This window comes from Homo sapiens, chromosome 1, assembly GCF_000001405.40.
Source record: "Homo sapiens chromosome 1, GRCh38.p14 Primary Assembly".
Lineage (NCBI taxonomy): Eukaryota > Metazoa > Chordata > Mammalia > Primates > Hominidae > Homo > Homo sapiens.
In genome coordinates, this window is record NC_000001.11 from 34,457,208 (window position 1) to 34,469,499 (window position 12,292).

The 12,292-nt window shown below is 45.5% G+C and overlaps 1 long non-coding RNA gene across 1 annotated transcript in view; it reads right to left on the minus strand.

Annotated features, from left to right (window-relative positions):
- Positions 1-651: 651 nt before the first annotated feature.
- The window catches only part of LOC105378641 (uncharacterized), a 227,461-nt gene continuing 215,820 nt past the window's right edge, over positions 652-12,292 (minus strand). The window contains exons 7-9 of the long non-coding RNA XR_001737964.2: positions 5,856-5,902; positions 4,915-5,019; positions 652-1,693 (exon numbers count right to left, since the gene is read on the minus strand). This is a non-coding gene — a long non-coding RNA (uncharacterized LOC105378641). The remainder of the gene's footprint in view (positions 1,694-4,914; positions 5,020-5,855; positions 5,903-12,292) is intronic.

Below are 12,292 nucleotides of genomic sequence, written 5' to 3' on the forward strand. Positions count from 1 at the left end.
GGGGCGAGAAGGAACACAGAGGATGTATTCCAGGCCAAACTTCCACAGAAGATTCCCCATGTGTTCAGTACAATATTACTGCCTCAGAGTGTTAAAAAGTGTCACTTAAAAAACAAACAAACAAACAAAAAAACCTGCTCACTAGTCAAATAAACATGGGCAACACTGGATTCAAGAAAGTCAAACAAGCATTCTTTTCCGGGGACTTCTTGGAATAGTTAACAAGCTAGGGTGCATTGTGAATCTTCAAAAGAGACTATTGGATGCAGCTTTCCAAACTATTTACTTAGGCCGGGCGCCGTGGCACACACCTGTAATCCCAGCACTTTGGGAGGCCAAGGCGGGTGGATCACCTGAGGTCAGGAGTTCGAGACCAGCCTGATCAACATGCAGAAACCCTATCTCTACTAAAAATACAAAATTAGCCAGGCGTGGTGGCGCATGTCTACAATCCCAGCCCCTACTCTGGAGGCTGGGGCAGGAGAATCGCTTGAATCCAGGAGGCGGAGGTTGTGGAGAGCCAAGATTGTGCCATTGCACTCCAGCCTGGGCAACAACAGCAAAACTCTGTCTCAACAACAACAACAACAACAAAAATTCAGAATTCCGCGCCCCCCCCCCACCCCCATAATATGTTTTGGGGGGATATAAAGGCTCTACAGCTCACTAGCACACATTTTTGTGTTGAAAGTTATTCAGTAATTTCCCTGGATTCCATGGGAACCTGCTTTCACTGTTGGAGAGTTGTCACAGTGAGTTCATGTCCACCTGCTCACGGCTCCTCCCTTGCCCAGAGCTCTGCTACAAGACTGTTCTTTCTACCCATGACTGACTTTCAGGCACTCAAACGCAGGGGCTCTGCCCTCTCAAGTCAGGCTTCTGCTATTTTAATTCCTAGTCTACAATTTAAGTACTGTCATTAGTGGAGTAAATGAGGGAAATGGAAAAGAAATGCGTTCATTTGACTCCAACACATATTGAGTTGTTTGATCTTTAGCAAGTTGCTTAACTTGTCTAAGCCTTAGTTTCTGTAAAGTGGGGACAAGAGGTAATGCATGGTATGGGCCTAGCTTAGAGGCTGGCACATGGAGGCTCTCATGAAATAGTAACTACTGTGGTTATCACTCTGGAATCTCTGCCTTCCAGTCCCAGTCCTTAACCCTCAATTTAGCCCACAGAGGTTTCCAAGAAGTATCCCCTCTTCTCAGGGCTGCAGATCCTTGCAAAATTCAATACACATCAACATTTACTAACACTGACTAGATGTCAGGCTCCATCCAAGACACTGGGAGCACAGCAACAAATAAGATAGGATAATTATACTCAAAGTCCTCACAGCCAGGTAGGGGACACAGCAAGGAACCTTCAGCTCAAAGTTCTTGGGGAAACTAGTGTCTCAGGTTAAGAGAAGCAGAGGGTCTGTCTGAGCTTGCCTGAACCATTGAAGAACACAGACACTTGTGCAGACAGGGCTTCAGCCACCAGAAGATGCTTTTGGTATCCCTCTGCAGCCATGTTTTGTCTGGAAGTAATGTACCTCAAACACCCACCGCCATTCCCAGCATACTGTGTACTGTGTCCCTGGAGGCTGGGTACAGAATCAGAAATCTGCACTTCAACCACTTCGAGAAGGGACATAGAAGCCAAGGCCTGGGTATAGAGATCCTCTCATTTCTTCCTCCAGCCATTGTCCCTGGATGAAAAAGAATAAAATTTTGAAAGCACAATGTCTCGTTCAAGAGCAAGAGGACATCTTCCTGCTGGATGGAAACGTTGCCCCTTACATACAAATGAACAACATTTGTTTTACCCAGATTGTACTTACTTGACTCTAAAGGTCTGCCTCCCTAAACCATAATCACCATATTTTTTTAAAGTCCTGTTTCTTCCTTGACCTGGCCCCAAAGATGGAGGTCAACGTGGCCTTCTCCATTCGGCAGGTTATTTTTCAGAGGACATTGAGAGTCTGCTCCCAATCGCTCATCTTCCCCAGGGAATTCAAGTCACACAACAGAAACAGAGTTCAGTGTTCGATATCGGAAAAAGCCTTGCCAATGTCAAGGGTGTGAAAAACATTGATGTGCACCCAGCTGAGGTCATTTATTTATTCAATAAATGTTTGTGGAGTGTCTACTGGGTGCCTGGCACTGGGCTGGGTACTAGAGATACAATGACAACAGCAACACAACAATAGCACAACAATAGAAGGCGCCAACTCTGATTGAATGCTCAGCACCTGCCTGGCGCTCATTTAATCCTTCAATATTTACAACAACCCTGTGAGATAGACACTATTATTTTGCACTTTTTATGCATGAAGAAACTGAGGCACAGCAAGTGGCCAGCTGTCATCATAATATCTGGTGGCAAAAAAAAAAAAAAAAAGATTTGCTGCCCCCAACCGTGGAGCCCTCCATCACCTACTGTTAGAAATGGGATCTTGTTGGAGATGCAGATCAACCCCAGACCTACTGAATCAGAATCACTGCAAGATTCCCAAGTGACTGTGTGGACGTAGTGAAATTTGGAGAAGCACCTTCAAAGGAAGGTTAGGACACATAGACCAGCTCCCACACAGCTGGTAAGTGGCAGAGCAAGGACTGGGGCCTGGCTGTCTCACTTCACCACGACACTTTGCCATCTCTCCACAGTGACTGAGACAGATGTTGCCCTCGAGTTGCCCACAGGCCAGTAAGAGAGACAGACAAGTAAATGGGCTGTGACAGGAGAGTGGGGTAAATGCCGCCGAGTGGGTGCTATGGGGGGTTTGTAGCAGCGTGGCATTTCATAGAGAGTGCTGGAAACGCGTGTCCTATCCAACTTATCCAACAAGACCCCATTTCTAACAGTCAGTGATGGAGGACTCCAGGGCAGCGGGAGGAAAACCTTTATTGCTACTAGACATTGTGATGAGGACAGCTGGCCACTCCCTTTCTGATGCAGAGCCCAGATAACCTCCTAGTTAATGATGTCACAGCTGCTGTCACACCTACCGAATCTCCTAGGATACTAAGCATGATGTTAGATTACTAACCTAGCTGACCTCAGACAGGGCTTGCTATAAGCCAGCCACTATTCTAAGTGTTTCACAGACATTTAGCCCTCACAAGGACCCAAGGAGGAAGTTTCGGTAGTCATCAGCTCCATTTTGCAGGTGAAGAAACGGAGGCCCAGAGGTTGTAACTTAGCGACTTGCCCAAGGACATACCACCACTAGGTGGCAGAATGGGGCTCTGAACTTCTGCCAGTCTTTGAACGTGACTGCCCAGGGCCCTTCTGCCAACTTGCCTCCTGGCTCTTACTTAACCCTCCACATTCCTAATAAAGGGGCCCAGGGTCAGAGAAGTTAAGTCATCTGTGCAAGGTCACGCAGCTAATGAGGGGCAGAGCCAGGATGCAGACAGAGGTGGGCCTGAGCCCAGGCTCCTTCTTTTTAATGGCTCTACTGAAAAGCAAGAATTTGAGTTTCTGCTCAGATCCCCAAGTGGTTGGTTCTCCAGCTGTAACAAGACTTAGAACCTTTTTGTGGCTACCAAAAAGAAAAGAAAAGCGAATGGAGCCACTGAGGACTGGGCCATAATCTAGGCCCCAAGCTCCCAAATGGAAGCGTGCTCTTTTCACCCTGGAGCTCTTCCATTTCTGATGCCTTCGCAGGATTTTGTGGTCTCTGATCAAAATGTGTCCATTCGCCTTCATCCTTCCTAGGCAGAAGGAACAAGGAATCATTCTAGAAATATCACCCTGCTGCAGACTTTGGAGGAAACTGAGTCCCCATTAAGGCCATGACTGCCAGAGACTCAGGGGGCTGGGACAGGGTTCGGGGAAAACGGGCTGTGGATGCTAAGGCAGCCCGTCTAGCCCCACCCTGCTTGCCTAGGGCCCTGCAGAGCTTCCTGACCTGGCAGCCCCACAGGATCTGCTCCCTTCAGCCTGTTAGAATAACAGTCCTCCTCCTCCTCCTTTCAGCCAACTCTCTGCCTGAGAGCCAACCACTTCGATTCACCACCGAGTCTCTTGCCGTCAGCACTCCTGTCAGAGCACTGATTGCTAATAAAAGCAGTACAATTGTTGATTGAGAATAAGAAATAAAAATAAAGCACTCGAGCTGACCAGCCACTGTGCCAGGCCCTGTTTCAAGCTTGTCGGTCTTAAAGCCAGGGAAACAGGAAAATTGCTGCCAGCTTAGACCAGCTCCCACGCGGCCCAACCCAGCTCCTCGAACCAGCATCCATCACCTTCTTTCAAAGTGTTTCTCCCTCCTGTACCAGCCCATGTTCTCGCCTGGGGATACCTGAACACACCCCTATCTCAGTGTGTCCTCGGCAGGTTATACCTGTCACCATCACCCACCACCGTGGGGACACATGCTCATTTATCTATAGTGAGATATTGCAGGGCCAGAGGTGGGGCAGGGGAGTCCAGGACCATAGGTGTGAGAAATATAGAAACACTGGGTGGTAGTGGTTCAGAGATGGGGGAGGGTAGAAAATACAGCAACAGAGGGCATAGCAGTGTCCAGTCCTGGTTCAAGCCTCGGGGTTGTCCCAGGAACAGTGGGCAAGGTTTGCTGATATCCAAGCAGGCATCCTCCATCAGCAGGGAGGTCAGTCCATACGCAGCAGGTGCCTGGTACAGTTCAGGGTTAGGGTCTGAGGCAAGGCCCAGCCTGAGTCCCCTCAGGCTCTGGGGAACTGGAAAAATCCCTGGGAATTTATTTCAAGAGGGCTGAAAGCTAAAGGTCAGTTGTACATTGTGGTGGTGGTGTCAGGGACCTTGGGGTCTCGAGAGGAAATAAACTGTGACTCTGGTAACATTTCAAGGGCTCTGGGTCAGCTCTGGGTCCCTGAGTCACACTGGAAGGTGATCTGAGAGTGATAAGAGTGATCATTACTCCCCACCCCTAACCCCTCACACCTGGGAGTGAAGAGGAGCTGAGGCTTCTTAAATAGTTCTTGCATTCAGCTCCGGCTGGCCTGGGATCTTTGGGAGAGATGGGACTGCACATTTAGGTTGGCTCAGCTGTAAGGAGGGCGAGAGGGCAGAGGCAGAGACATAGAGGGATGAGGGGAAAGACCTTTCCTATGTCATTCCTTCCTATCCAACTTGTAGGACACATATTATTTCCTCATGGTTTTGTGATCTCCCATTCGGGCAAAAATGATGTCACAAATGTTTTCCAGATCTTTCCTTCGGAGTTTTTATTATATACCTGGTGATATATAATAATCAAAGCTATTAAAAATAGGAGCTTTTGAACAAAGTCCTGGGATTTTTCTCTAACTGGACCAATTTGGGTCACATGGACATCCCTGAGAACTGTGGCTGGAAGAATGTGATGTGCAGGTGCGAGAGATCATGTCATTAGTGTTCAGCCAATCAGGGCCCACCCCTGAGCTGGAAGTGGTTAAATCCAACCTACATGGACAAATGGGAGATTTGGGATCCCTCTGTAAAGAAGGAAGGGGGAAATAGATGCTACGGAGGCAGGCAGCCATGGACTACTAAAGCTGCCGGAGATTGAGGACCTGCTATGTGTCAAGGACTGTGTGCTTTATACAAACTCTCTCATTGAGTTATTAGATTTTAAATGGACTTTAGAGATGTTTTGGCCCAGTGATTCTCACCAAGTTAGCATTCCACTTTGGGGGAGATACCAGAATCGCTGGGGGGGAAGTGTGAGATTTCCACATCTAACCAAAAGGGCAGTGGGTTTTTGAAGACTGGGAAACACTGCCCAATTACTTCATGAGTAACCTTCCAAAACTCTGACACAGCAGTCTAGCATAGCGTTAAAGTGTTTAAGTCTCTGAGGTTAGGCAGACTTGAGTTTGAAGAATCCTACTTGTGTTACTTACCAGCTTTCTGCCCTTGGACTCTAGTTTACCAGCCTCGGGCTTCTCATCTGTAGAATAGAAATGATAGCAGAACTCTCAGAAGCTTTCTGTAACCATTGAATGAGATCAGGAGCAAAGTGTACTCAGCACATGTCTTGAACAAAGGAGGTTCCCAGCAATTGGTAGCCTCTGGCACCATGTAAGTGTGGAGAACTGGCATCTCATGTGCCACTGAGAACATAGCGTGGGAAACGACAACCCAGCCCGGTACCCTCCTTTTGTAGATAAGAAAACTGAAGCCCAAATTGGAGAATATTGTGCCTAGGGCTCCACAATGAGAGGGTAGTTGATGCAGAAAAAGAGCTTGTTCCAATTCAAGGGAAGGCATGACTCTTGACCTTTGGTTCAGGGCCTCCTATCAGGCTGCATCTTGTCCTTCGATCCCACCTGCTCCTGTTCTCCCCACCACAGAATCCAGCACATGTCTGGCACAAACAGAAGTCCACAGCCTGCTTGAGTATCTGCATGGCTGGAGGCAGGGAAGTGAGCTTGTGTCTTACCAAAGAACTTTCCAGGAAATGGACTTCAAAGAGTTCAGCATCAACATCTGACCACCTTCTGTCCATGTTCCTCAGCTAGGTTCTGTTCCCAATTATCATTATTGATCTGGGAGGGAGGAAAACTGCTGAAGTATCACTCAGCTTCTTAAAGCAGCTGCTGCTGCAGCAACAGCAGATAAGGACTGGTTCTCTCTGTGCTGGCTAACTGGCTTCAATTGGGTGATCTCGTTACTAGGATATGGGGCTCCCTTAATGAACATCCCTCTGTGGGTATCTTTCTGATGGTGCTATCAGACACATGGCAAGTACACCTTTGAAGGCCCCTGCATCTGCCATTGCCTCTCCACACAAATACACATACGCAACACAAAGCACACAGACACACAAATACACACACACACACACACACACACACACACACGCCCCAAAGCTTCCTTGCATGTTTCCTTTCAAGGAGATTTACATAGCCTAATAGGTATACAATGACTCCCTGCTGTACCCCCACCAGGTCTAGATGGTGCTCAGTTAACACAAGTCCCTGCCAAGCTGATCTTACAGACACCTCTGTGCTCTACTTCAGATCCTCCTGGCCTTGTCTGTCTCCAATCATGGCCTCTGCTGCTGTGACCAGGTAGGCATAGGCTTTGGCCAGCTTTATGCAGGTACACATTGACAGTTCCTGGCTCAAGCCCCACTGTGCACCTCTTGGCTATCTCCCTTGAGCGTCTCTCTGATGCCTTGGTGTGTGATACCATGGGAAACTTTCCCAGCACCCCACACATGCACAACCAGGAGGTGCAGGGGAATCGATATCCTTGAGGCAATGCTGTGACCCATGGGTGACAGCAATCAGTAGATAAATGTCCCTCTTCTGCCTCTAAGTGTGTTGGCTGAGACACATTTCAGAGGACTTTTCAGATGGTCTTGTGGGACTGAGCGACCAGTTGCTTATGACCGTAGCCAGGTTAATGCATCTTTGCACTGGCTTGCTCTCCTGCCTGGCTCCACTCACTTGTCCTTCACTTCTGCTCCCTGGGATCATAGTCCCAAAAAAGTGCTTGTATATAAGCCTTTGTCTCAGGCTCTGCTTTCAAGGGTGCCAGCCTAAGATGGTTGTTTCCCACAGTGGCCTGGAACTCAGCCCCTCAGGATGGGATCTTAGGGCTTGATCACTCGCCAGTCAATGGCAATAAGGACCCTGGCATCAGTGAGAAGTAGAGGGGCACTGACCCCCTGACACCCAGTGGCATTCTGATAACTAAGACTTCCGCCTGAGGCTGACGGAGATGAAGAGCTAGTTGGAAGGTGAGGTGTGGGTTACGGTGGTTACGGTAATTGAATGTGCAGAGACAATAATAATTACACAGATTAGAGTGGGGTGGCCTTTTGTTAACTGCACTAAACACCTTGAAATGAGAGAACAAAAGGCACAAGATCTCCAACTGTATATTCAGGCTATGCTGTGAAAACCAGAAGGCCTTTATGGAAGCTTTGAAGTGACTTTGATTTCCTGTAGCCATGAGAGAGACTGGGCCAAAACCTGGCCAGGATCTCATTGAAAGGGTGACAAGTGTTACAAAGGAAATAGAATGTACAGCTTCAATAGGTCTTCTGCATCAAAATCAAGGCCTGACGGAAAAGGCGTGAAATCTTGCAATGTGGGATGGGAGCTTTTGAATGGAAAAACGTGGAACTCTTAAACCTCCAGATTTGCCTTAACTCTCTAGGCTGGCAGAGGTCTCCCTCTTCCCTTGTCTCAGGAGAACAGTTTCTCCAGTCTGGAGGTCCTGCAATAGCCTCCCCTGAGGCAGGTGCTTGCAAAACATGGCTTGTCCTTCTAAATATCTGTCCCTTCCACCCCTCATTAGCTTCAGACCAATAACGAGGGTCAGGTCTCAGCACAGCCTCTGTAAGTGCAGACCCTGCTCCTGGAGAAAATATCAAGGGGCCGGGCACGGTGGCTCACACCTGTAATCCCAGCACTTTAGGAGGCCAAGGCGGGTGGATCACCTGAGGTCAGGAGTTCGAGACCAGCCCGGCCAACATGGTGAAACCCCGTCTCTACTAAAAATACAAAAATTAGCTGGGCATGCTGGCATACACCTGTAGTTCCAACTACTCGGGAGGCTGAAGCAGGAGAATCACTTGAACCTGGGAGGCAGAGGTTGCAGTGAGCCGAGATTGCGCCATTGCACTCCAGCCTGAGTGACGAGAGCAAAAAACTCCATCTCAGAAAAAAAAAAAAAGAAAGAAAGAAAAAAAGAAAAGAAAATATCAGGGCCCAGATTACATGTATAAGCAGGAATCTGGGGGACATGTGTGGAATTGGATCTCAAAGGTATTAGACTGTAGGGGGTATTAGAATATAAGGTGGAATAGCAGAGAATTTGTTGACATGGGGGAACTTAGCTATAACTTGGAGTTCAATATTCTGAAAGGACTGGTGGAGCCCCTCCTAACAACCTACTGGAATGACTACTTGGAGCTTGGACATCACCATAGCCTGTAATAAATGAGACAAAAATTCTGGGATTGCCTTGGCATAGTATCAAGGAAGGGGTCAGAAGGCTCAGGGACATTTTTCCTCTATAGCCTATAAACTGTCATTACTGTAATAAGGATGAAGTGGAAGCCCCTAAATTTATACAAATGAAGCCATACTTGGTTATCTCTCTATCTATCTCGCCCATAAAAAAGCCTTGATATATAACTCCAGTATCCCAATACAGTAGTAAATCAGATGCTCTTCTGCACCCTTGGAGGAATTGCAGAGATCAATGCCACCACAAAAATGTAAAGACGTCCTCCTCTGCAATTCTACTTTCTCAAGAAAATGGATCATGGCAGATCAACGTGAACAGCCCTATACTTAACAAGCTGGGAGTCCCAATCCCAGCTGCCATGCAGTATCTTTACTGAGCAGATCAATATATTATCTAGTATTTGTATGTGATTATTAATTTGTCAAATACATTATTCTGGATATTTATCAGTTAGGATGATCAAAAGCAGTTTATCTTTACATGGGAAGGACAACAGCATGCCTTTGCTTGTGCTGGGACCATGCTGACCCTCCAGTTGTCTGTCACAGGGTAGTCCACAGACGAGATTTCATTTATCTCAACCTCCCACAGAACCCCACTCAGCTTTACACAGAGCAACTTAAGAGTGCCTTACCCTGAGCCTATGCCATGCACTTTTTGCCTCCCATCCTGAGGTTCTCTGTTGATGCTGCAGTGTGGGCTACTGTGGAAATGCACTCAGTACCTAGGCAGGTGTAACCTAGAAGTGTGGCAGAGTTAATAATGTCCCGTGAGGCCAACTTTTGAGCAATGAATAACAAGAAGATAATGTATAAATACTTCCCTCTTTCTATCTCTAGTCAGATGGTCTTAATCACATTTCACATGGCTTGGTGATGGTCTTGGGGGATCAACCAACTAGTCAACCATAGTAGTGGTCAGCCTAATAACGTATCTTTATATTGACTCTCTTTTCCCTGCCGCCTTTCCCCTATCTTTTTCTTCTCTGGCATCATATCCCTCACTAAAATACTCATATACATATGCCATGACTCAAGCTCTGCTTTTGGGAAAACCCAGACTGGGACAGAATTCCCTGGAACTGAGAATGAGAAGGGAGACAGTCTTCTCTGTTCCTTGACCTTGGTTCTCTTATTTTGGGATGAAAGCAAGGGAATCCTGAAGTTAGGAGATCCAGTGCCATGAAAGGATTCAAAAAGTGACCAGCTCACTTTGTCAGAGAGAAAGGATGTAAAGCTACCTCTCTTTAGGAGGGAGGAAGCAATGTTTACTTTGAAGGCTCTGTGAGAGGCAGGGCTAGTTACAAATGAAAAGGAGTAGACTCCTTGGGAGGCTGATACGCAGATTTGTTTGATCTACAAATGATCATCTCTATCGTATAATTTTTAGGGAGCAGAAAGCTCCCTTTCCATAAAATATTTTCTCTTCAGGTGCTTGAAATACCCACTTAGTAGTTTTCTTTCTTGTATTAAGCATTGCCACTTTTAAAATGCACACTCTCAGAAAGCAGACATCACTAGCTAAAATGCCTGATCAGGCCAGGCAAGTAACTCAAATGAAGAGTACTGGGTTGCAGGGAGGCATGCATGTCCAGCTAAAAGGGACAGCAGATCACCAACTGCAGCTGATGCTGCCATATAGAAATATGAACCCAGCGTTTCCTGCTCCTCTGATTTTTTTAAAGAAGCTGGAAATTCAGATATTAATATGAAACCTTCTAAATTTTTAGGGTTGGCAGCTAATTAAAAAGTTTTGAGAGCAACATGAAGGCAAAGAAAAAGTGTCCACGGGCCTGATAGAACAACTCTGTATTTTGAAAATTTGATCTCGGAAATTCCCAACCTCTCTTTACTTCCTCAACGTCCAGTCAGTCTTGTCAAATTCTGCATTGTTCATTCAGAGGCATTGACAAAGTACCTACCATGAATCAGAAACAAAAATCAGGCACTAACTAGCTCTCTGCTTCTGGTGCACAGAGTAGCAGGCAGACAAGTAAAGAAACAGTTACAAAACAGTGTGATGAAAGCGACACTATAAAAAACACAGGTGCTGTTGGAGCCCAAAGGAGAGGAACCCACGCCAGCCTAGGAAATCAGGGAAGGCTTCCTGGTGTAGATGACAAGACACGAGATGTAACAGATGAATAGAATGTGACTTAGGCAGGTGCAGCAGATGGAGAGGAGTTGTTCCTAATTGGCTTCTTCTTCCTTCCCACTTTCTCAACCTTAATTCAGACCCTCATCACATGGCACCAGTTATCAAAACACCCTTTTCATTGGTTTCCTTGATTCCAATCATTCTCCACACTGTTGCAAAACTCACCTCTCTAAGACAAAAGTATGTCCTCTCACTCCCATATGTTAATTTCCTTTAGGGTGACCCCATTGAGGACAGGAGAAGTTTCCCAGTTTCATGATCAACATCTCATCCATCAAAACTTTTTGATAATGCAACTTCAACATAAACATGTCTGCTTATTTGTTTATTTATAAATTAGATATCTGTAATGTGCTAAGTGTCATGGAAATTTTGCACAAAAAATAGAAAATTTTAAGGTTGAAGATACATACGGTTGAAAATTATAAAACATTTATATTTATATATATATATATAATTTTCAACCATTAAATAAAATAATGAGAGCTATGTACTTGCTCATCATAAATGCTTTGATACTTTTAAAAATCTTAGCTTAACACTTTTTGATATAATCATTTGAAGGTCAAGTTGAAAGTATGTTTATTTAGTACATGGTTTTCATGACTTAGGCTGAAAGGCATGCAAAAGACATGGAGATCACAGTGGGAGACATACTTACTGGCTGCACTTTGTACATGTTAGACCCATTTTCAATCCCACCTACCAATTATACAGACAATGTGAACATTTGCTTACTAGATCTCTGTATTCCACGTATCAATTGTTCATTTCTGCAAATGAATTGGAAGATGCAGCATTTCTACATTTTGAACAAATGTGTACAAAGTCCTCCAGGTTTTTTTATGTAGGAGATTTTTTAACACTTTAGGAAATTTTGTTTCCAAGTTTTTATAGAACACAGATATAACAATTTTTATAAGTGACACCCTGACAAAATTTTAGGCAATAGGATCATGTAATGGTGGAAACACTTCAAACATCCATTTTAAAATGTTCTTCCTTTTGTGCACACAAACCTGTTTCAAAAAACAGTTCCTTTCTCACTCATTGTTAAAAAAATATCGCCTTTACCTTGAAAGGGCAGATTACAGATGTTTACTTTTTCAAAAATATCTAATAGCAACAGCTACCTGTCATCATTGGAAAGGTCAGCAAATTTGGAAAACTTGTCTTTTTGTAAAAGAAAATTATATCT